Source organism: Homo sapiens, chromosome 6 (assembly GCF_000001405.40).
Source record: "Homo sapiens chromosome 6, GRCh38.p14 Primary Assembly".
In the NCBI taxonomy this organism is placed as follows: Eukaryota; Metazoa; Chordata; class Mammalia; order Primates; family Hominidae; genus Homo; species Homo sapiens.
The window spans coordinates 152110420-152136456 of NC_000006.12; the positions used below are offsets into that span (position 1 = coordinate 152110420).

The following is a 26037-nucleotide window of genomic DNA, read 5'->3' on the forward strand; positions in this document are numbered from 1 at the left end:
GCAGGAACAGAAAACCAAATACTGCATGTTCTCACTTATAAGTGGGAGCTAAATGATGAGAACACAGGGATACATAAAGGGGAACAACACATACTGGGGCCTATCGGGGGGTGGAGGGTGGAAGGAGGGAGACAAACAGGAAAAATAATGAATGGGTACTAGACTTAATACCTGCGCGACAAAATAATCGGTATGCCAAACCCCCATGACACACATTTACCTACATAACCAACCTGCACATGTACTCCTGAACCCAAAATAAAAGTTTTTTTCAAAAATTGCATTTAAGCAAGCTTTCACATTTTCTGAGGAGAAAGAAAAACTCATAAGAACTTTTAACGCAAAAGGAGTATTTCATCAAAGAAATATGACACCTTGGACAGGATGCTGAAAGCTATGTCCATACTCAAATCCTGGAGAAATGTGTCCCGGTTGTCTTTCTGGTGGGCAGCCGTTGGGTAGGGAAGCTTGAGGAGCACTTCCACCATCTTCCTGGCACCTGGGGGTGCCAGTGCTCTTGGTTTCTGAGGCCCCTTTCCTGCCTCTGCTTCCTGCTGAGGAGTGGTTTTCCTCTGTACCTTGGCACCAGGAGGAGCTCTATTTCTAGCCGATGACCTGAGACCTTGAAGCCTGCAGCGGTGGCACCCTCACTAGCAGCAGGGCCTGTCTCAGCCTCTGACAGTTTCTGGGGCAGGCTCACCCTCCCCCCGTTGCCACAAGACCATCTCATGGCCCAGGAAGGGACCACAGCCCACAGTGAAAGCACTTGGCATCTATGTAGAACTGACAAACTAGGAACTGTCACCTCACTAAATGAACGTGAAAAAAGATAAAACTGGAGCAAGGAAGCCTTTGGGCAAACATTTAAAAAAGTGATTTCGAAAGTGGGTGGGCTGACCTCAGTGGCCAGGCCAGGCTGGGTGCCTGGGATGCACTCCAAAGTGGCAGACGCTAGGCCGTTTGCCAAGAGCCAGTCGCCCCAAGGGTTGCAGGACAGACAGCCCTCCGAGCGACTTCCCAGATTCAGTGCGCTGCTAGGCCTTTCTGCGGACCTGCAACCTGCCATCAGCTGCCTTTTCATTGAGAAATCAGTAATTGTGGGAAAGGCCAGTGAAAGGTTTGTGAGCCGGTTAACATTTTTACAAGCTGATTAAATTCTCAAGTTCACCCCGGACTCAATGGAGTTTAAGCTGAAAAGATTCCTGAGTATTTCCACATTTCCAACCAGAAAGAACATGTTTCAATACCCAGGGCCCCAGACCACAGGCTGGAAGGGAGGGGAGAAGGGCAGAGAGAGGGTGCAGGCAGCTGCAGGAACCGTGTCGCTGTCTCGGTAGCTGCTTTACACGTGGTCTCAGTGCCTTGAGGACGCCAGGCGCAGACCAGTTTTGGGGCTCAACCCCAGCAAGGGAAGCATTTCCTTCCAATTGGAGGGAAGGGCTGATGGTGCCAAAATTGGAGCTGCCAGATGGTTCCCTAAGAACGGATTACAAACTAGAGTAAACACTCCATCAATTCATCTTTGAATTTATTACTAAATATTTTTAAACACCCTTTAACAATCCCTACAATCTAATCCATTCTCAAATGCTAAAGAAACGTGTATAAAGAAAAACATTAAGTGGGTTTGTCAAAAGATTGGAGGTTTGGATGGAAAAGTTTATTTTAGTTACTTGGCAATGTTGGTACCCACTGGTTTTAGCCCAGCATCACAAGAACCTGGGTCCAGGCAGCAGAAAGACCTGAACCCAAAAAGGACAGAACTCAAGGCAGCTCCAGGCTTCTGTCTATGGAAAAAGCAGCTAAACTTTGATCTAGGTTTAAAAAACAATGGAAAGGCAATGTCAGAGAACTTGAAACAATATGGAGATTTTTTTCCTCTATTTTCTGTGATTGCTTAGAAGCAGAAAGTTAAAATAGATGCCCTTTCAAATTTCCTGTATCTCATTTCAAGTCAAGTGTCCCCGACTAGTGAGTTCCTCCTTTCCCCAGCAACTCTGTGACACTGGAGATTCAAGACCTCAGCAGCTACCAGGGATATTTAGGCCTCTGGAGTACACAAAGGCCACCAAAGGAAGAAAGGGCTTAACAATGCCCCCGGGATCCCATCAAGCCAATCAAAAGGATTGAAAACCCTGAATAAGCAAGGTTTATCACCAGCCAAACTATGTCACCATCCTGGTGCCACACTGCCCATTCCCACCGAGCTCTGGGAAACCACCTATGTGCTCTCCTTGCCGGAGGGACATACCCAGCCCCAGAACGAAACTCTGCAGAGGGGCCAGCTACTGGCACTCCTGATGTCAGCACCAGCAGCTGACCTGGCAGGCGCCCAACCAGGAAACGAACAAGGGAAACTGGAAGCGGCCAAGGGATTTGCAGAACCTTCTGAGCCCACTGCAAAAGACCATGCCATTTCCATTCTGAAGACAAAAACGTGAAGTCCCTGTTCCCAAGACCCCCTACAGAATCCAAGAAAAAACAAAAAGGGAACATCAAAATGAAAGAGAGAATTCTTCATGGATGGATGTCACGAACGTGTTTTCAGGGAAGAACCCCAAATGGCAGTCAGATGGAGGTGGGGCGAGTGCTGAGCTCACCCAAAGAGGATGCCCATTCTGAGAACTGTTTCAGGAGAAAGAAGCGCAAAAGGCCGGGGCGCTGCCTGTCCCACCCTGCCGCCAGTGCTGTGTGTCTTGGGTGGCTCTATCACAGGTCAGCAAATTTTTCTGTACAGGGCCAAAGAGTAAGTAGTTTAGGCATTTCTGTTTGTTTGTTTGTTTGTTTGTCTCTCTTTGCTTTACAATTCTTTGAAAATATAAAACCCATTCTTAGCTCAAGGGCCTATAAAAACAGGCAGGGACTGTAATTCCCTGACCTTTGTCAGGCACCATCAAGCCACAGGTACCCTCCTGATGAAAGGAGTAAGAGTCCCTGACAGGTGGTCCTCTGCATGGGGCGGGGGGCACCTGGAAAGGGAGGGCCTGGGAAATGCACTCATCTGGGAGGGAGTCTTTCCATTCCCACTGGCTGAGTCCTCAGTTACCGCAGGGCTGTCGAGAGTCTGAGACAGAGGTCTGCCCTACAACATTGTGCTGAGAAGTAACGAACTGAGCTGTACACTGACACATTTGTGAAGAGGGAAGATCTCATATTGTGTGTGTGTGTGTGTGTGTGTGTTTAACCACAATCTTAAAAAAGAAAGAAACAACAATTTTAACAATTTTAAGAGACTTTCTCCTCATAAAAAAGATTAAAAACAAGTGTGGGAAGATCTGGTAATTCCCAATAGCGATTTCCAAAACCAAACTAGAGGAACGACTAAAATAGCGTTAACTGTCCCTCAGTCCTCATCAACACATCCTATACATTAATGTATTAACGTCATAACAACCCACGCAGGAGGCACCATTATTATCCCATTTTACAGAGGAAGAAACTGAGGAATAGAAAGTTTAAGTAAGTTGCTCAGGTTATACAGCTAGGAAGTGGCTGAGCTGGGGACTGAGCCAAGGTATTTTTGGCTCCAGAGTTTATGTTATGGAAGGAGCCTCTGTAAGATTTGGACAAAAGGGATTTTATAAATGTCCAGATCATTAGCTACTCTATCAGTTTTCCCACTGTGATTAGCAAACACCATAGGGAAGGTGTGGGAGGGAGGAACTGAGCCCCGTGCCCAAGCCAGGCTTGGGTGGGCAGAATCCTGTGTGAAGCTGTTGAATGGGAACAGATTTCAACGCAGAAGGAAAGCAGGCTGACTCTCTGGCACCTGCATCAGGAAAGAAAGGTACAGGTAGAGAAGCTGCCTATGACTTTCGAGTCACTGTCCCTCCCCGCCCCATCATTTCTGGGGACCAGTCTGCGACTCAAGAACTGATTTCACCTGTGAGCAGGGTGACTTCTGGAGGCAGGTGGTAGTTTAGGAAGTTGCGGGTTTTTGTGAACATGTAGGTCTCATTTGGACATCTCTCCTAGGAAAGCTCATCTCCTAGGATTCATAAATCCCCCAGTCAGGGAGCCTCCTTACCTCAAATCAGGCCTTTGCTCTTATGCCATGAAACCAACCATGCATTTAAGATGAAAACCTAGAGCAAAGTCATCCATTAGAATTTGGCCACTTTTAATAAATGACTTGTTAACATTTATTTCGGGCATACCAAGAAAAGTTTTTTAATTAAAAAGCAAGTCAAGGCCGGGCGCGGTGGCTCACGCCTGTAATCCCAGCACTTTGGGAGGCCGAGGCGGGCGGATCACGAGGTCAGGAGATCGAGACCATCCGGGCTAAAACGGTGAAACCCCGTCTCTACTAAAAATACAAAAAATTAGCCGGGCGTAGTGGCGGGCGCCTGTAGTCCCAGCTACTTGGGAGGCTGAGGCAGGAGAATGGCGTGAACCCGGGAGGCGGAGCTTGCAGTGAGCCGAGATCGCGCCACTGCACTCCAGCCTGGGTGACAGAGCTAGACTCCGTCTCAAAAAAAAAAAAAAAAAAAAAAAAAAGCAAGTCAAATGTTTCCTCATATAAGAACTGAAGTACTTTTCTTTTGTCTTTTAAAATTATCATTATTCTTATAGCAACTTGGATCTAAAAAACAAGTCATGCTCCTTGATGTAATTTAAATACAAATGTTTAAAGTGCTTTCCCCACTCTGACTGCAGTCAAAATGTCAAGCCTTATATTTCACATGTCTCTCCAAACTTTCACCTTGCTTCATGCCATTACTATATACACGAGTTTTTCCCTACAAAATGGAATCATATTATTCTATATCTTGTTTTTATAAAATGTAAGAATATATAGTAGGCATTTTCCCTAATCAATACATATAGATTGATTTCATTTTATAAAAATAGTTACGCCATACTGAATACTAGGTATGCACTATAATTAATTCAACAATCCTCCTGCTGATGAACATCTAGGTTGCTAGAAAATTATAACAACAGGGGGCCTCTCTGTCTTGTCCCTGATTGGTTTTGGGACAATTATCTATTCATTTGGAGAATGACAAACTAGTTCCTTACTTCATACTAATGACAAAAATAATTCCAGATAGATTATAGACCTACTAGAAGAAAATGCAAAGAAACTTTTGCATAATCTTAAAATAAAAAAAGGCCTTCTTAATGTAGACTAACTAGAATCTACCAAGGAAAAAGAACCTGCCAGGTTTGATGACATAAAAATGAAACTTTCTGTGTGACTGAAAGAACTATATGAAGTCAGGACACTTCATATCCAGATTTAATTTTTCTAATATGCAAAGAGGTCATTGAAAATAATATTAAAAGATAAAAGAAAAATGGAGCACAAAACAGACTTCACAGAAGAGGCAATACAAATGGAACAATTATTATACAAACTAGCCATGGACATGCAAATTTTAAAAACAATGAGCTACTGTTGCTCTCAATTGGGCAATATTTTTAGAAAACTGATAGCATCTAGGCCAGCCCTTCCCAATCGTCTGCACCTGGGAATCGCCTGGGGACCTTCAAGTAACTACTGATCCCCAGCTACCAATTTAATTGGTTTGGGGTATGGCCTGGGGTTCTACATTTTTAAAAGTTTCCTGAGAGAGTCTAATGTACAGACTTTGAACATTAATAATTTGGGAATAAGTCCCGTAATTTGGAAACCACTAGTGTACATTAAAGGAGGGTATGAGGCAAAGGAGGTTTTCATCTCTGGTGTGGGTGGGAGTGTAAATCATCACGACTTTTTTAGAAAGCAAACGGGCAGAATTTATTAAAATTTACTAAAAGAAGAATGTACATACCTTTTGATTCAGTAATTCCACTTTGAACAATACATCTTGGAGAAATAAAAGCAGCACTATCAAAAGATACACATGCATATACACGCAAGAGTGTCTACTGCAGCCGTGATTCCTAACAAACCCTGGAAGAAACCAGTGGTTGAAAAAGAGATACTGAGATCTCTAACTCAGTGAGGATGATGGCACAGGTACCAATATGTCTGTGGGACATCGTTAAGTGAAAAATGCAAGTTACAGAATAATAAGAATAGATCCAATTCTTAAAAATGTATATGTTGTTTGCATAAGAAAATCAAAAGGCCTAGAAAGGTAACATAAAAGCGGGAGATGATGTAGAGAGAGTAGATAGGAAACTTAGTTTTCTGTGAAACACAAGAGGATCTTTTGTAATCAAAATAATTGACTTTTTTTTAACAATTAGCCTTTAAAATAGACACATACACAGCGAGAAAGAAATGAGGCTTTTCCTAAGATGTATTAAAACTTGAAGTAACAAATATACTATATTATTAGTTATAGTACATACTTATATATTTGTATTATTTATATCTATTTTATTTTGTTTTTATATTATACAAATATATACATCATTATAATAAATTATACTACATACTGCTATAATTAAAACAGTAATGGCCAGGTAGATCTAACCATTGACTAGAGTTCAGAATAAAAATCCAGATTTATATGGAAACCAATTGTTCGGTGAAGCCAATATATTTTGAGTTAGTGGAGGAGGATGGGGAAGCTTGCTGTTACTGCTTGCTATCATGGCCAACTGGAGAGAGTTAAAGGGCCCAAAGATGGAGAAATCCAGTGCAGGTGGTAGCTTGGAAGCCCAGCCCTAGGGCTGAATGTGGTGCATTCTTAACAGGTTTCCAGGTAATATTGATTCTTTGAGCCACAGGTGAGCCAAACCCACTCTGAAAGCCATGGCTACTTACATCCCTACAGTGTCCACTCAACCTGTAAATCCCACAAGGAGGTGTGGGGCAAGGGGTGGACATGGCCTCCACTGGGTTCCTGCCAATAAATGGGGTTTGGGGTTGGCTGCCTGGAATTGCTGTCGAAGTTGGCAGCTGCTTGGCAGCTTTGCTTTCTGAGCCCAACAACAGCTCCAAGAATGTGTCCGGCAGGATTTAAGCCTGAGCTGGGAACGCACATCTGTGAGGCTCTGATGTGAATATTCAGCAGGGAGATCTGGATTTCTTCTCGATTGCCTGTAGCATCAAATCTGTGACGAGGCTTACCCAGGACTTTCTTCTCCTGACATAATTGCGGTTTTCAAATTCAGTTATGTTCCCACTCTTGTATTAGGTAACAGGTTAAGCAAATTCATGAGCCTGATTTATTTTTCTGTGACCTTCATATTTTAGAAAGATTATATCCAAGTCCCAACCGGCTTCCTCAGCTCCCTAGATTAAATGTTCTCATTGTTCAGCTTGTGTTACAGCACATCACCCTGCTTCTCATTAATCATTCCCAACTGTCCAGCCCCCTTAGCTTCCTTCGGCTGCAGAAGGCTGCACCTTGTTCATGCACTTATTCATCTGAGTGAGGGTTCTCTCCCAAATTTAGGCCTGTCTGTGGTAGCCTCCAGTGGATTCTTGGTGCATATTTTAAAACTTCAAGGGACAGGTTAGTGAGAAGCTGGGAATTGAAGAATAAAAGTCCTTCGCTTTCAGTTTCATTATCTTTGGGTGACTTTAGGTATGACAATCAGCCACAGTTACCCCAGGGTACTACTAAATCTAAAATTGAGATGACCACACTCAGAAAAACACCTGTTTCCTGAATTAACTTCTCAGTGTTATACCTAAGTGAAAAATTGCCTCCATGCTTATAAACCACTCCACCTGCCTCCATTTCTGCAGATGGACATTCATACTCTTCAAAAACACATCCCACTGTAACATAAACTGGGTGACCAAGAAGCTAAAAGCAGAGGAATTTGCTCATAGAAAATAGAGATCTAACAGCTTTAATCTCCCTTTCCTCCCCTAAATTAGATATTGTTTCTATTAAATTCCCTTCTAGTTTCCTCATTTGCCTTCATCCCATTTCAGGACATAACTGGTGCTGGGAAATATGGATTCTTCTCTATGTCAAAGGCCCACTGGTGACTGCTTTTAATGAGTCATTAAACAAGAACCCACCCAAATGCCCATCAATGATAGACTGGATAAAGAAAATGTGGCATGAATACACCATGGAATACTATGCAGCCATAAAAAAGAATGAGTTCTTGTCCTTTGCAGGGACACGGATGAAGACCATCATCCTCAGCAAACTAACACAGGAACAGAAAACCAAACACCACACGTTTTCACTCATAAGTGGGAGACGAACAATGAGAACACATAGACACAGGGAAGGGAGCACCACACACTGGGGCCTGTCAGGGGGGTAGGAGGTAAGGGGTGGGGGGCAAGGGGAGGGAGAGCATTAGGGCAAATACCTAATGCATGCAGGGCTTAAAACCTAGATGATGGGTTGATAGGTGCAGCAAACCACCATGGCACATGTATACCTGTGTAACAAACCTGCACGTTCAGTACATGTATCCCAGAACCTAAAGTAAAATAAAAAATAAAAATAAAACAAACAAACACAAGAACTTCTGAGGTCCTCCCCGAGAGGACTCCCCGAGGGAGCTTGGAGCAGTTCCTGCCACATAGTGGGCATTCAGTGAACTACTTGAGAGATTAATGTCTGTTGCTCTCCCCAGGCACTTCTGGACCTATCTGGTACACACTCAGGATATTTCAATTTCTCCACAATCCCCTGTGAAGGTTTGGCGATGGTGCTGGTGAATTGGTTGCACCGAACAAGGAACCTGTCCACTGGGCTGCTTTCAGGCAGCCCAGACCAGCCCTGGGAGGCCCGGCTTTTCTGGACACGATTAGCTTTCATAAATCATCTCTCTCCACTATTCTTTGCTTTACGATCTTTTATGTGGTTTGTCAATTAAGTTTTGTAGCTATAATGTCTTAATATTTGGCCCTGGGGTGTAGGCTATCAATCAATCTACTCTAACCTGCATTTTTATAGTAAATCTCAGGCCTCGGCATGTTGAATTTCCCATCTGGGCCTTCAGAAGTCTTCTCTTCTCACTTCTTACAAAAACAAGAGAAGCTACTGTGGGTCCATTTTCCAGGAGGGACATTCCTGCTCCTCAGCCATCATTTCCCAAAAAATCCTTTCATTTCTCCCGGGATTTCTTATTAAGTTACTACTTTTAGATTCTAATGCCTTATTTTTCCATGTTAGCTATATTGGATTCTTTGTTCACTTTTCTAATATTTCCCATTTGCTTGTGCAAATCTCCTTACCACCATGTTATTAACCCTTCCCTTCCCATCCTTCCTGGTCAGTGGATGGTCTCTTTATGCCCTTCCTCACCCAGCACTCACTTGGGACACCATTCCCTCTCTCCAGGCCACAGCAGGGCTCCTGACTGTCCTCACTGCAGAAATGGAAGCTTCTTCAGCAGCCATCAGTGTCCTTTTATCTCCTTACTATTCTTTAAACCATCCCACATCCCTTCCATGAAGCTTTTTCTCTCTGTTGCCAGAGCAACCGCTGGGTGCGGGTGAGGATGCTCATGGCCCCATACCCATCTCCCCATCATCTGCGTCTGGCGTGGCCCTTGCTAAATTGGCCAATCAATCATCTGGGGAAGAGCCACGACCTCATGGGTTCAATGTTTGCACTCACCAGGGTTCCCTACTTCTTCGAAGGTTCTGTTGTTTAAATCTTCAAAAATGTAATGGAAATGGATGTTCTACACCCCTTTGGGGGTTTCACAGGGTTTTGAGAAAGGCACAGATGGAATGTATGCTAAGATTTTTCTTAATTGAAACCAAATGTTTTTCTCAGCAACATTTGCCATTTGATTCTTCAGTGACGGGAGATGCCTAGGAGGAAGTCAGTTGACAGTGATGTGGAGAAGAAATGCTTCTGAAGTCTCTTTGCGCTTGCCTTTTCCACGATGACACTCTTCATTGTGTGGGATTTCCATACCCCCTGAAGGGCAAAACTGCTCTGGAGGGAGGACTTCTCCTTCCAGATATCGGGAGGAGTGACAGGAAAGTGAGGGAAGAGCGAGGCCTGAAGAGTGCTCCATCTCAGATGAGGGTGCAGGGCACCCTTCAACGCCAATGGCCACCGCTGCTCACAGCCTCTCCAGAAGCGGGAAGATGGGACACTTTAACCACGAGGTGGTCTTCTCTATAAAATAACAGTGGGCGGGGGGCGATCCATCGTGTTCCCTGTGGAACACGATGGGTTCATGGGCCATAAGATACAGACAATCTGACGGCAAGAAGCCGAGTAGTAGAGAGAAGTCTTAAATACAGTGTGAAAGTGATCAGGAAATTTTTCAAGAAGGAGGTGGCTTGTGAGCTGAGTCCTGTGGGGCAGGCAAGGAGGAATGAAGTTAAGGAAGCAGAGGGCAGTGCTTTTCAGCAGTTAGGAGGAATAAAGTCTCCTCAGGCATCTCTTTAAAATGCCGGCTCCCAGGCCCCATCCCAGAGGTTGAACTAGGAGGTCTGAAGCAAGCCCGGGACTTGGAAAATCTAGCAAACCCCAGGAACCCTAGTTGAGATGGACTCAGACTACCTGCATTATGGAAAGCACAGACGGCAGTTTCAGGCAAGGTGAAGGGCCTCAGTTTGGTTTAAATACTCAATTTAGAGCAGGATTTGTAAACTTAAATACCTCTGGGGCTAGGGTGACACAGACCTTGAGAGAAGTTGAAGGTTTACAAGTACAAAGAGGAGATACTCTCTCTCTCTCCCCCAATTCTGGAAGGGACAGCAGCCAACAAGCTCCGGCAATTACTGCCATGCAGGAATATGTGCTCCGGACTAGGGCACCAGAGCTGTCTACCAGAAGAGAAGCCAGAGACCTGAGTTTTATGTGCCCCAGAATTATTAAATGATACATTAAAATGCCACGAGCATCACATAATTCCATGAAGTCCACTATAGTAGGCAAGTTCAGAGGAGCAAAATAAAATCTCATTGCATATGGACTTAAATGATAGAAGAAAACTGTATTTTATCCGGTAGACAATGAACAATAGAAGGCTTTGCAGCAAAGAAGGAATCTGAACAGAAGTGTGCTTTAAGAAGATTTCTGTGGCTGTTGTCTGCTCGCAATGGAATGGAGAAGGGACCTCAGATATCAGCTCCTAGGAAGCCTCTCCCATGTGCAAAAGGAATGGAGAATAGAGGATGAAAGGTTTCCGGAAACAAGAATTCAGGAGATTTGATTGACTATGGAAGGAAGAGAAAAAAAGGAATCACCTGGGGTCTTCTATGTCTAAATCCATGCTGCCTCTTGCCATCCTTTTCCTTTAATATACACTAATGTTCCAGCTTCATTCATTGCACAGAAAAATGATCATTTAGGTTGCATTCTGATCAGTGCCTGCTTAATAATGAAACTTAGAGTTATTTGTTTAGGGAAAAAAAAGCACAGACAAACTATTTTATAATATCTATAATAAATGCAAAGAAATCAATACAAACAAAACTTGGCTTTAGCAAACTGTACATACATAAATATCTTTTTTTTTTTACTATAACATTCAACTTTTTTCACATAAAGCCTTCCATGATCTTATTTATTACATCTAGTTTTTCTTTATACCTCTAAAAAAAAGTGCCTTTTAGATTTACAGCTTGTGCTTCTAAAGCAAAGGTTAAAACATCATGCCCCAAAGGAAAACAAGGTAAAAAGGAAGCTGCCATATAAGCTCTTAAAAATTGTATGTTACAAGGTTCTAAAATCTCTTCAGCACTGGTTGGTTGGTAGATTGTACGACACTGACATGGTGCTTGGGAGGGTCATTTATCTGATGGTTGGAGCAGCACCATGGGAAAGCTGCCCAGATGGTCTACTGAAGTCCTTGGCTGTGCACAGAATGGGCCAAGGGCCCAGAATTCATGAGTCCGGGGAACTTTGGAGGTCCTTACTCAATCTCCTTAGTGCTAAGGTTCAGAGTCTCAAACCAGATTTCTTCCAAACCTTCTTGTTGTCTGTTTGTTCCCCCGTCACTGTTTATCTTCCACCTCTGAAGCCATAATTTGCACACATGTGATCTGGAGGAGGGCTAAAGCTGCCACACCGAGGGCTTTCGCCAAGATCAAGGTCCTCTTGTTGGTAGTTTGGGATTGCTTATGACCCGATCCTCCTTATGCTACCAGCACTTCTGCAGATGGCATCTGCTTAGTTCAGAGTGGAGGAGGGCCATTCGTGTATCTGAGCATGGGGTGGAATGACCGGGCAAAGTTGTTGGAGAGGGCACAGCTGTAGTCTTCCTCTGACATTGGTACAAGGCAGGCAAGCCCGATGAGGAGGAGCAGGAGAAGCTGAAGGGGAAGAGCTGCTCGGAGGACTCTGAACAGGAAGCCGCGGCCGGACCGACCTGGCCCTGGCTCAGAAAGGGAGGAATCGGAGCCACCTTTTGTGGACCTGAGAGAAGAATGGACATAAATTACTCAGATAACTCCAGTGTCGGAGGGACGCTGCTTTTTGCCTCTGCACCTTCCTGGAAGCTAAAGGGCCATGCCAAGCACACCCCAGCCTGGCGATCAGCTGCCAGCCTTCCACAGTGTGCCCAGGTCACCCCCCACCATCAAATGAGGTTGTTGGAAACTGCACTGACAAGAAATAAACATTTAGTCAGTCAACTAAACGTAAGTAATTAGGTTCAAATTCTACTCCTTTTACCCCTTAATGTGGTGAAACATTTTCTATCAACGAAAATAACTGCTCTATACACATTCTACTAGCATGAATTAAGTAGATCCAGAATAATTAAAATGTAGATATTTGATGCAGCATATTTTTGTTTTAAGAATATCATGAACATTGTTAAGCAAAATTAGTTGCTGTCAGAATCATACCAAGTATCCCATCTAGCCATCCTGGATATGCCAAAATCCATGCAGCAAAAATAAAAACAGTCTTTGTCATTTTGCACAGACCCATAAAAGCTTCATTAATCATAGAGCATACCCTGGTTTCATCTTGCACTGAATCAGCATCAGGCCCTGACATTAGCGGGTTCCAAAGCTGTACGAACAAGGAATAGCAGTGGAGTCTGTCTACAGAACACTGGTGTTGTATGATGTAGATGCTAGGCTGATCCTATCACTGACGTCATTACTTTGGAAAATGGACACCATTTTCTGAGGAGGATGGACTGTCATCCTACAGCCCCTTCTACACTCAAAGTGACAAGTTTTTCTATTTCACTTTTATCTTCCTTTTAAACAGTGCATTAGAGATTGAGTACAGGTTTCAGAACTCTTAAGAAGGACTGCCTGGAAAATACAGAATCTGGAAGTAGATTCTGAGTTGGGTGCTACTGTTTTCTTTTTGTGAACAGCCATTACCTTTTTTTGGTTACTAGCAGAAAAGATGAAGAAAGAAATGTTGTTTACGACAGGCATTTGGTGTACACTCAGACCCATACAACATTGAATGAACAAAAATAAAAGATGTAGCCAAAAGAAACACTCCCTCACAACTAGTATAAATTCCTTAAGAGTTTTAATATCACCAAGGATAAGGACATTGTATGTGAGGCTACTGAAATAATATGAGCGTGTGAAAGCTGTATTGGTAACTGTAGGTTTGGTCCAGAAGAAAGCACTATGTTTGTAGCTCACCTATTACCTATTAATTTCTGAAGACAGACTACCCTAATATCGGTGGGGGATGCGGAGTGACACCTAAGAAAATAAATGTTAAAAACAGATAGAATCCCCTTAGAAGGGAACAGAGGGAGTATTCAAAACTCTTTTATTAAACCATCAAAGAAAAATGGGAGAGGGCTGGGCACAGTGGCTCCCGCCTGTAATCCCAGCGCTTTGGGAGGCTGAGGTTGGCGGATCACTTGAGGCCAGGAGTTCAAGCCAGCCTGGCCAACATGGTAAAAATACAAAAATTAGTCAGGCCTGGTGGCGTGTGCCTGTAGTCCCAGTCACTTGGGAGGCTGAGGCAGGAGAATCGCTTGAACCCGGGAGGCGGAGGCTGCAGTGAGCCATGATCGGAACACCACTGCACTCCATCCTGGGCAACAGAGCGAGACTCTATCTCAAAAACAGATATTGGTTCTGCAGAAACCCCAAGAAACAGGCAGCACGCAGTGTTTCTATACACTTCTTGTGGTGTAAGGAAAAATCAAATCACTGGTTTAAATTGGAAGCATGTTCTTTTCTGAAATCCACACAAGTAACGGCAGGGTAATGTAACCTTGAACAACTCACTTCATCTCTAGGTGTCAACCTCTTCACTAACCTCTTCAAATTAGCATAGATGGTCTTCTAACTTTAAAGTTTACTGTTCGATGTTTTTGTCTTCTACTGATTTGTCAGTATAAATAATCTCCCAAGAAGCCACAAGAGCTCAATCACCATCTAGTGGTCAAACTGATTAACTGCCCTTGTGCTAAGACCAATGAGTTATTCCTAATAAGCTGAGGGAAAAAAAAAGTATATTTTGTGAAAATATAGTAGAACATAAAAGAAGTATGTCATATACCTTATTAATGGAAAAGGAAAATAGAAACTTCTTGAGTTACCTGAGCATAAAATATTCATGTTGAGACAGGGCCTTAGAGAGCATCCAGTTCATCTCCTAATTTTGTAGGGGAGTAGCTAAGGACAGTTCATGTTTACTCTTCTAATTGCTAGGCAGCACTCTGAGCATTTATGTTGGGTTCTGTCATTTAATCCCCACAGCAGTCCTCTGCGGTGTGTACTTATTAACTTCATTTTACAGATGATGTGAAAGAAAGCTCAGGGAAGTGAAATAACTGGCTCAAGCTCACACAGCCAGTGGCAGAAGATTTCAACCCTGTGATTTTAACTACCAGAACCTGGAGACTCTAGACAGGCTGAATGACTTGCTTCAGATTCTACAGTTAAAGGAAGAGGCCTAGCAGGGACTCAGGCTTCCAAAATCCCTGCCCACCGCACTCTCTGCTGTGAAATGTTTTGCTGGTTGGTGATAGGAATAATGGTAATGGTAATTCAGGTCGTATTCATTTCACAGGTATCTCACATGTAGAAGCAAAGAAGAGAATCCTGAACTTGCATCCTAAAATATTTGGAAACAAGTGGTTTCCTCGTGTCTAAAGCCTCTGGTCATAAGGCCTCACAGTATCCTGCAGATCATCAAATCCGTGTGTGGACGTGGGGACATTTTGTTTTGAGGCAGTTACATGACCATGGGCAAGTAAATTAGTCTCTCTGGCCTTCAGTTTTCTCATTTGCAATGATTCAATGGTTTGCCTTAAAGTGTCTTAAGAAGGATAGGATAGCTACCCACAAACTTTGGATCAAATTTTCTTCAAAACATCCTTCCCCTGACTTTAAAATATGCCCTGGCAACCAACACTCAACACCTGTAGCTAGATGAGTTATAACAGAGTGACTGAAGAGAGCTCCCACAATTCCTAGTTATTAAATACCTGACTAATTTTCATTAGGAGACATTTAAGAACTTTAGTGATGGGAAGATTTACATATATAATTGATAGTACAATCTGACAGAGCTGAATAGCTCCTGTTTGTCAACTGTTAAATTCTTTGTGCAATTAGGTCAAAGATCAAGATCAAAACAAGGGCTGCCCATTGACCTGTTCACTCCTGAGAAAAATGGCAAACCATTGAATCATAAATCATGACAGCCAAAATAATTTTAGGATATTAATGCACCCCTCATCTTTGCAAATGAGAAAACTGAAGGCCAGAGAGACTAATTTACTTGCCCATTTTTGATAAAAATGTCACCATTTACAGAATGTGGACTCCTATGTTGGAGTCTGTTGAAGGACATGGCACATTTAACAGCATCAGAGCATTTTTTATTAAAATTTAATTTGTGCATGACTTCTAATGCTGAAGAACGCCAAGCTAGGAAGAAGTCATGGGCTGAGATGGGGACAGAGAGAACACACAATATTCAGTGACTGTCCGTGCAGCTGGCTGCCCTTGAAAATATCCGAACTATCCACTGGGAAAATGCCTGTCCCCTTGGGGTAATTACCAGAGTTTCAACATGCCCAAAGCTGCCTCATCTTCAGGGGGAACTTGTTCTAGCGATTTTAGTATCAAGAAGCTAATGGTCCCAGGGAAAGGGTTATTTTTAATATTTAGCTACTGTGCTAAAAATCACCTAAGTTTCTAGAGTCTTGGGAAATTTCATAAGGGAAAGAACAAAGGCAACTTGTTGACTACCCACTGGTCATTCTCCTCTGGTCTTATTACATACATGGATGCCAGTTTAGATTGTGTTTATATAGGAAAAATTAAATGTGTGAGCCTCCTTAAGGAACATCATCAATACAGATATATCAGATAGTTCTGTCCAGCAAAAAACGTGCTTATTTGCTACAAGTAAATTTTTATTTATTTTTCTCACTTCCCTCACTCCTTCAAATTTCCAGGTAAATAGCTGCCCAGGAGTTGCTTCATCTCTGTCCCAAAATACCTAGACAATTGCGGGATAAGGAGAATGGCAGGGAGGGAGTAGTGGCTAAAATCACACCCTTCAAAAGAAAGTGTGTAGGACACACAATTGTGAGAAGTCTGAATGCCATGCACATAGGGTATGACTCACTTTGAAAATTGTTTATAATCAAGGAAATGAAAATGAGTTAATTTCGTGCATGCATCATTTAAAGCCAAATGAGAAGAAACTTCTAATTTATTTTGTTACTTTTCGGCTAACACTGGCAGTATGTAACAGATTTATTTTGCAGAAACATCTAGATTGTCCGTGATCTTGATCCTGCCCTTATGTGTCTTGTCTTTGAAACCCAGTGTTTCCTGGATATATGGTTCAGGAGACAAGTTTCCAGAATCAAGTTAGGACCCAGGTCTTCTTTTTTTCCAAACCAAACATTCTTGCTAATCCTAAACTACCTGAGGCAGCCTGTGGTGGCCTCAGCTCTAAAACCATTGTTTAAAGGCTTCTACCCATCAATGGCCCTTCAGCAGAGTGGTACGGTTAACGGGGTAGGGTCTGGAGTCAGGGGAGACCTGGGTTCAAATCCTACATCTTTACACCTCTAATCCCCAGTGTCCTTGTCTATAAATTGGGAATATAGCCATGTCATGGGATTCTTGTGAGGGTTAAATGAGGTAAAACACATACAATGCTTAGCATGTATACAATTAAGCACTAAATAATTGAAACACATTAAGTACTAAATGAATGTCAGCAGCTTATCACTATTATCTGTATAATGATACCAAGGGTGTGCCGACTCATACCCTTAGGGGTTGGCTGGATTCGGCCTTTTCTCTCGGGAAAACATACCTGATTTATTAATAGTGCTTTCAAGCATGTGATAAATTTCTCAAACTGCCTGTCTTGTTCCCTAGAAACACCAGGAAGGCCTACCTCAAATAGCAACAGAGAAACCTATCGGAGCCTTACCCTACAGCTTTCCTTGGGGCACGGGTGAGCAATCTGCCTTAGAGGGGAGAGGCTCTGTGCTGAGGCTCTTTGAATGCTTTGAATAAATAGATCCCCAGATAATGAAAAGACTTCAAAACAAATTCTACAAGAAACTGAGTAGTGTTTATAGTGAGGCCCTAGTGTACATGCAAAAAACCCCCACTGCCCTTGCTTAAATGTATCTGATTAACTTGAATACATTTTTAAATGAGGGCTTTTTTCCCTCTTTCAGTGTTTCGGCCAGTCATTTGCCACTTCTCATTCCATCTTAGTTCTCTGTAAAGAAGGTGCCAGAGACCTAAGGTGCCCAAGGCAATTTTGCATTTTACAATTCTAAGCTTTAGAATGAAGTCATCAATTTGCTACATCCGGACTACAGTGCAATTATTCCTTTGCCTTGCTGGAAATTGGAGTGAAATCTTTCTAGCTGTCAATTTCAACTCAGTTGCAGTAGTGTTTTGAAGAATTAATGGCGATAAGGTTAGAAAATTTTAAGTCAAACGTAGGGAAAAAGTACCAGCTAGACCATCATAAGCATTTGCTTTGAAAGCATGCTTCTAAAGTGTGTTTAACCTCAAATAACAGTCACAAATATGGTTATTATGAATGTATGCACAGATTTTTATGTTTCTAATTTTAAGAAGTTCTAGGGAGCTCCCTGTAACGATTTAGGGAATCTCTAGATTCTGATATACTGCAAGTCTTTTAATGGTAGGAATCACATTGAATTAATTTTGTAGGCCCAGGGCCTAAATTTAGTAGGTGTTCAGTACCTATTGGCATCAATTCATATGTAGGTTTAAAATACTGTATGAAGATACAGAATCACCACCATCAAATCAAATTGAAATATGTAACAGGCTAGTATAATATTAACATCTGACTTTAAACAACAACAAAGAAACCAAATGAGTAACTCCTCCCTTCAAACTAATAGTCAGTTTCTTCCAACTCAGTCTCTTTCTCCTCTCAGGAAGAATGCGTATCTAAAAATTTCCCATTGCAGACTGCTGGAAACAACATTCTAAACTATTTATGCTTCTGCAATAACCTTTCCAATTTGCTGGACCAGTGCAAGATTAAACACGAGATATCTCAAGTCTCAATGTAAAGGAACACCACGACAGCCTGGACTGTGGGTGAAGTTCATTCTTCCCCAGCAGACTCTGCCTTTCATTCTCGGGGTTGGGTGTGCCCCAAACAGAGGTACCGACGGTAACGAAGCCCAAGAATGTTCAACCACAACCTGTCTGTGAAGGTGTTGGATGACGTTTGCCATTCAGGTGAAGATTATTTATGTTCCAGTCCCACCTGAGTAGCAAAGTGAACACTGTGCTGAATGCTCAGAAAGATGTTAATGAACCGTGCTGGACAGAGCAGAGCTGAAAGGCGCCTTGCGAGTGTCGTAGTGAGAATGTGGCTGTCCCAGCTGCAAAGCCCTGTTAGGAGGCATGAGGAAGCACTTGCTGCCCTAAGAAACGATGCCTTCGACATTTTCAAAAGATCTATGTGGCTGTCTGAAACAATGCGGAGAGCAGATAGACGCAATATTTGGGAACCAAAGAGTGACTGCTGTTGGCGTTGCATCATAACATAAGCGCTTTCCCCCTTCTCGTCACTATCATTTGTATCAACCAAAGAACTGATCTCTGGTATCCTCGAAGGAATGCTGTGGGGATATTCTTCATCTCTGTTCATGGTACATCAGCAATTTGTGGGGAAAAGATGGACTATATAACACAATGATCTGCCTAAAAGAAACTGTCTCTACTTATAGGGGGCTGAGCAAACCTTAGAGCATCTGCGGATGCTCGTCATTATCTTCAAAAGTCCCCAAGAGTTTTTCTCCATACTTTATTATTGCTATTTTGTTTAGGCTAGAAAAAAAAAAACTCATAAAATTGTCTTCAAACCAAACCAAAGGAAATGAAAAGAAAAAAAAAAACAGTACAGGGAGGTCTAAAACCAGAGAACATATGAAAATACGTTCTGCCTGACTTCAGCCGAGTGGGAAGGACCAAATGAAATAGCCAGTCCCTTATGTACAGCTGGAAAACTAAAATTATTACTCAAGGGTTGTTTACAGTTCTACATTTCCTCATCCCCACCCTCCTTCCAGGAATTCAGATTCCTGCTCAGTGGTGATAAGTTTCCAGAGGGACAAGCTACTTTAACAGTGAATTGCTAGGGACTGGAATGAAAACAGGCTCCGAGGACAGTGTTTTCATTTTTTAGAAAGCTGTCTGGGGAAACTTGAACTGATCAGTGGAGGAGCAGAGGAGCACAGACACCACACCGACAACAAAGAAGGCAAAGCACTGCTAACTGCGGGAGTGAGGGGCTGCTGGAGGCCAGGCAGGAAGCGCGGAGTGGCAGCTGTGAGTCGGCTCTCGGGAGGTGACTGGGCAGGGGCACTGGCTGCTGCGGGTTCCAGAGTGAGCTTGCCAAGTGCCCGGAAAGTGAGTGGCTGGGTGTGCTGGATGAAGGGAAGTTTTAGGATAAGCAGAAGAGAGAAGGTACTTATAAATTTCCAATGAACACCAAATTAGGACTTGCCATTTTGAGACTCCAAAACCCACAATCTGGATAAAACATGAAAATAAAATAAAAAGTTGGGGATGTTAGTATATTTTATTCAGATATGCGGGTTTTGTGAATGGTAAAAGAATTCACTGATCGATTACCTGTCTTATTGTAAACTCTAGAAATAAAGAGGATGATAAAAGTCTGCCATGAATCAAATGGCAGTGGTGCCACCAATTGTAATCAAATCCTTATTGACAATTTGATGAAAAGTACCAGATGGGCTATGTTGAGACAAACAGAATTTTCACGGAGTCCAAATATTTTATGCTCTGAAATTTACTTGAACATTTCATTCAGAAACTTCTCTTCCAATGTATGAGGAAAGGGTGTGGACTGAAATGAGTAATTTCCCAACTACCCTGAGGCAGACCAGATATAGGTCAACCTAAGTCATGGACAATTTTCATCATCCTCTTGGGGTTCTAGAACAGTGTGGAAACCAGGAGAAGGAGGTACCTGCTATGTGGACTGCTGACAGAGGGTCCAGGCTGTGAGAGACTACACTTGCCTCGTGGCTGTTTGCAATGAACAGGGGGTAAAGAAAGAAGAATGTTCAGTCCAGGCAAATAAAGACAAGCTACTAATGAAAATTAAACTAAAAGTGCAGCAAAGGAAAAATAAATCAAATGAAATGATCAGTACCCATGAATTAAGGAAACTGGCTTTTCTTTTGTTGAAGAAGTAAAATAAATTTATATCTATGTGATTAGCCACTGATAAAACATTAAGTTGGGATTCTGGAGTCCATACTATGGTGGGCATAATTCTCATGGCTTTTCATGGTAGAAACACATGTGTATATTTACATACAATAAATGTAAAATGCACTATGCCATATCACATATTTCAAAGACACTTAATATATTTTTTTTCATCTTTTAGAATAGTAAAACAGTGTTAAAATTCTTGGCCCATAAGAAATAACAATGGCAATATGAGATTGGTCTTTGTAGTGATGAAGCCCAACTTAAATATTCAACTTAAAGAAAGGTTAAAATTTGACTTGAAAAGCCAGTATTCCTTCACATTCTTAAACTAGGATCTATAGGAAACTAGTGAATGTAGTAAAAAAAAAAAAAAAATCCTAAAAAAGATAATACATTTATCAGCATAGAACATAAATGTTTATAACAAAAAAGTCAAATGAAATCAAAACTTCTAAAAACTAAGGAAAAATGGAATGAATATAATCATAAAGCTGGACAAAAAATATATAACAAAACAAAAAACAAGCTTCTAATTACACAGAGAAATCAAGGCATAGAGGGTAGCAGGGGCCGAATTTGTCCTTTCATCCTCTTTGTGTTCAGTGAGGCAGCCCCCGCCAAGGCCTGTGGGTGAGTTGTTGCCATTTTAGGGGTGGCACAACTGCCGCAAACCTTCAGGACCACCACCCAGAAGCGGCTTAGCTTGAGAGTCAACAGAACCTCCACTTGCCTTAACGAGTCAATGGCTCACAGGCGTTCACGGTTCTGTGCACCTCCAGCCGAGGCGCCCCGCAAGTGGAGGCCTACCTTTTAAGATAGTCGTGGCAGCCATGGCTTGAAGAAAGGAGCCACCAAAGGGACAAATGGGCACCATTCTGGAAATTTTCTTATTTGAGCAAGAAAAATAAATGTTCTCCCTGCATACCAGCCACACGTTGAGTCCTGATTCTTTTGAAAACCAGAATCGCTCTTTTCCATTCCTGAGCGCGTGCTGGGAGGGGATGTGGCAGGGCTGAGGAAGCGCGCTACCCTGTGTGACAGCCCTCCTCTGGAGGGGACGCCTGCCTGTGAACCCTGTGGTGGGTGCAAATACTGTCACTTCCCAGTGTTCACTCCCATGGGCCAACTGAAAACGACCAGTGGAAAGTTACCGTTTTCTGTCTGTTTGGGGTGCTCCTTCCTGATGTGGGACTCACAGACCCTGAGGTGTCCAGTTCATCAGCAGAAGACCAGGAAGACAAATCCTATGTGGGAGAAAGATTCTTTTAACAACTCCATGTCCCAGACCCATGGGGGCCCTCTGTTGCACCACGTTATCTCCCACTCCATCTCCATCCACCCCCATGTCTCCACCATAAAAATCAAACCATTCCTTGGGGAAAATGGAACCAGACAGGTACAAGAATAGGGCCAAATTCTTCTAGTGTGTTGGGATTTCCTAGCTGTCCGTTTGGCCGTTCTGGAAAATATAGCTATGATTTTGTTATTGCTATGTTTCACTTATAGCTTTATTATTTCTTGGAGACATGGATATGAATGAATTGATATTGGCTTGGGAGGGGAAGACACCTGCTGTAGAGCCTGCTGGTCACTCAGGCTGAACAGAAGTCAATACATTCCAGTTGGAAACAAAAGATAGTCATCTAGGAGTCTGCCTTTTTGCATTAGAGGACTTTACTATTTCAGACACTGCTGCTATTCAGAGTAGATTGTTCTTTTGCATGCTTACAGCAGGGCAAAGCATGTGTTCATGGCAGGATTTCACAGCAGAATGGTTGAAATCTTACCAGGCATCACCACATCTCACCTGCAAATGCATTTCTCAAAACCAATAATACCACAATGGAGTTGATTGTAGAAAAAAAAATATAAAAAATTAAATGAGCAGAGGACTGTTTTTTAATTTTTTTTTTTTTTTCTGTATACATAATGGAGAATTCATGCCTGAGAGTGGTTAAATACAAAACTCAGATACAACAATTGGTTTGCTCTACCATGGCTGTGTAATTAAAGTGTGTAAATTCTTAAACAGGGTGAAATAAAATGCCACAGCAGTTGTGGTAATAGCATTAGTAGCAACAACAAGAGAGCTTTTGGATTTAACAGAATCAAAAGCAGTGTCCTGTTGTAAAAGTTTATGTGGCTGCTTTTTTATTTTGAGACAGGACTTGTAAGAGCAGTGGCTGAAAGGAGACACTCCATTCTGACAAGTACTATATTTAAAGTCTTTCTAAAATGCATGAAGATGATGCTTCTTTGGTCTCCAGTAAGAAATGCTACACGATGATGTCTGTTTATTGCTTACCTGCTGACTACTTGACACGTCTAATAACTTCTCCAGTTCCTTGATATGACGACTGACCTCCTTCAAGAGAAGTTTGAGCCGATTTCCAATAACATGGACTTTTTCTTTGGCTTCTAAACAGTCTGTTCCTTCAGCATTCACCAGTAGTTGGCAAGACATGTCTTGCAAAGAGGCTACTCTGAGTTGGGATTCCAACAGCTCATGCTTTATTTGCTATGCATACAAAAACAAATTAATTTTTCTAAGCATTTTTGATAATTGGCAAAAGCTCCAAAAGTGCAGAATGCAATCAACTTAACTTGGTGGGAAATTATACCTGAGCATCAAACGTGGAGCTCACACACTAAAGGATGCAGCAGCTCACGGCCTGAGTTCTAATCCTGCCTCTGCCAAAAATATTCTATAAGACCCCTGACCGTCTCTGATCTCAGTTTGATTTGATGCCTGGTCCACAGTATTATTGGAAGGTTCAAATTAGTTAATGTATATATGACAGTAATTAAAATATAGATTAGTATGCAAGTGAGATGTAAGATAATCTTTTAAACAGAAAAGCACAACATTAAATATAGCGAAGCAGAAGTATGTCTAGGTATCCTCTGATATCTAGTCAAGATTTGAAAAAAAAAAGGGGTGATTCGTCATTCACAGCTTGATGCCAGAGGTCAAAGTGAAGTAAAAATGCAGTTCCACAGCTATTTCCTCTAGGTTTCTAAGACTATTATGGTACTGAATTAAAAGGTACCAATTCTGTAGTTTAGGTGAGTGTTAAATGTTAAGACATAACATTTTAAAAATACAGAGAGCTACAAAGTGCATAATATTTTCTTCTAATGGAACTCAAATATGCTTCCTTATCTTCTATAAAGTCACTTAAATATACTGTACATTATATTGTCCAAAGATCCTTGTATAAGAGTCTACCAGTTAATTTCCTCTTGAATTTAGTGCTAGAAAAAGTTTCTCCTTCCTTGAGAAGTGGTATGTTTTGTTTTTGCCAGATAATGAAAGTAAGTTTACTCCTTGTTTCCCATTTTGTCTTGGCTTTCAGAAAACTTGATGCTCAGGTTCATGTTTAATCTGATGTATTTAATTCCTCTTTGAAAGACTCGGCTGGGTGTGGTGGCTCATGCCTGTAATCCCAGCACTTTGGGAGGCTGAGGCAGGTGGATCACCTGCGGCCAGGAGTTCGAGACCAGCCTGGCCAACATGGTGAAACCCTGTCTCTACTAAAAATACAAACATTAGTGAGGCGTGGTGGCTTACACCTGTAGTCCCACCTACTCGGGAGGGTGAGGCAGGAGAATTGGCAGGAGAATTGCTCGAATCCCGGAGGCGGAGATTGCAGTGAGCCGAGATCGCACCACTGCACTCCACCCTGGGCAACAGAGTGAGACTCTGTCTCAAAAAACAACGACAACAAAAACAAACAAAAGACTTAATTGTCTCATTCTATTCTAATATTTTAATGACCTTTTACTACAAGCCACCAAATATACTTTTGGGCCATAGATGTAACATGAAGTTTAAATTAAGCTGCCTTAATAAACAACACAAGCTAATTAAGATTGCTTGAGAACACTAAGATTTTTACAACTGAGCAACAACTTTAGAATCAGATTCTAAAGCTAGCAGATATCATCTTCTATGCACATGTTTGCTTTACAAAGATTGGAAACCACAGGGAGTTAAAAAAGTGTAAAGTAGAGACTATAATGCAAAAAGTTAAAAAAAAAGAAACAACACTTACCACTTATATTCATTTTCTGTAAATGAAATGCAACCCTGCTAAAAATAACTGGAGGCTGCCAGAGTTCACACATCTTACCATAAGCTGTTTGTGATGGTCCTGAAGTATCTCTGCATCAAGGTTAGAATCAATAGGGACAATTTCATTTTTCCTTCTGTCAATGTTCTCCAGCATAAGAAGCAAACCATGGCTCATTTCATGGAAACCCTACAGAAAACAGTTTAAAGTAACTGTAAATAAAATATTTTTATTTCTCTCAAAACTTAAATGTCTTTCAACTGCCACCATTAGCAAACATACTTGGTTTTAAGAACATACATGCAACTCCTTTCTGAGGAAGGCACTGGTGCTGTTGTAATGACCTGATCGTGAGTTCACGTTCTTACCAAAAGCATCTAATTTATTACTTGGAGGACAATTTAGACGAAAGGAAAACTGGCATCAACATACGTTATTTCTGAAAAAAGGGTAGTGCTATTATACAGTTTGGAAGGAAGCAACTCTGCTGCCCTCTCTTCTCTGTGTAGTCAAATCTTTCCATATTTTAAGGCCCACCTAGGCTGAATCTCATATCCCCTTCATTCATTCATTTATTCACTCATTCATTCATCCATTTATTTATTCAACATACAGTTACTAAAGATCTCCTACAGATAAGGCACTGTACTAGGAGTGGGTGCAGAGGTGAAACAGCAGTTTAGGTACCCGCTTTCAAGGAACTATTATATTACTCTTGGGGCACATATAAACCTGGAGAGCAGGCTTCAACTCCTTCCAGGGCTTTCCATGGCGCTCAGAATATGATCCAATCTCCTGGCCTGGACCTACAAAGCCATCTGGTTCCTGACCACCTCCTCAGTCTTTCTTCTCACTCCCTGGCTCAGCTCACCGACTACACTCTGGTCACAATGGCCTGTTTTCTGTTCCTAAAGACACTAAGTCCTTTCCTGCTTCTGGGACTTTCCATTTATTATATTACCTTCATAGCAACATCCTTCCAATGTTAGCTCAAAGAGCCAAATAAATTCCCTGACTACCCTCTCAAAGTGGCTTTTCTCAGTTACTTTTATCATCCACGTCTGCAAGTATCTGGTTTAACTATTTGCTTGCATTTTATTGATCTTGTCTTCCCCAACAAAAGCAGAGGCCATGCTGTATTCAATGTTTTAGCACCACGTCTGCCATATGGTGGACGCCCAGCAAGTAATTACAGTATGAATGGAAAAACAAATATTTGCAATGCTCACTTTGATGTTCAAGAAGGGTCTGCCTACTTGCCCAGTAAATATCTGTTGAATAAATAAAGGAAATAAATGAATGAGTCATAGAAGGAGCGTTGCGACGGAGATAAACATGAGGAATAGTCTCTTCTTATCTGGACAGAAGATAGGACCTAGAGATTTTGAACATGATCATGAACATGTAGAAATG

General features: G+C 42.0%; 2 protein-coding genes across 51 annotated transcripts in view; one reads left to right on the plus strand and one right to left on the minus strand.

Annotated features, from left to right (window-relative positions):
* Window positions 1–19200, plus strand: part of ESR1 (estrogen receptor 1) — a 472948-nt gene extending 453748 nt beyond the window's left edge. Inside the window, exon 7 of the mRNA NM_001328100.2 lies at window positions 14847–19200. Coding sequence (NP_001315029.1) covers window positions 14847–14929 — 83 coding nt within the window. The 3' untranslated portion in view covers window positions 14930–19200. The remainder of the gene's footprint in view (window positions 1–14846) is intronic.
* SYNE1 (spectrin repeat containing nuclear envelope protein 1) overlaps window positions 11268–26037 on the minus strand; it is a 515676-nt gene continuing 500906 nt past the window's right edge. For 30 of the 50 annotated variants that reach the window (XM_047418508.1, XM_017010610.2, XM_017010609.2 and 27 more), the window contains 6 exons: window positions 25854–25895; window positions 24685–24813; window positions 22857–23069; window positions 21703–21795; window positions 20301–20359; window positions 11268–12257 (listed from right to left, as the gene is read on the minus strand). In XM_047418508.1, the coding sequence (XP_047274464.1) occupies window positions 12017–12257; window positions 20301–20359; window positions 21703–21795; window positions 22857–23069; window positions 24685–24813; window positions 25854–25895 (777 nt within the window). In that variant the 3' untranslated portion in view covers window positions 11268–12016. The remainder of the gene's footprint in view (window positions 12258–20300; window positions 20360–21702; window positions 21796–22856; window positions 23070–24684; window positions 24814–25853; window positions 25896–26037) is intronic. The other 20 variants (NM_182961.4, NM_033071.5, XM_017010615.2 and 17 more) reach the window with 3 other exon arrangements.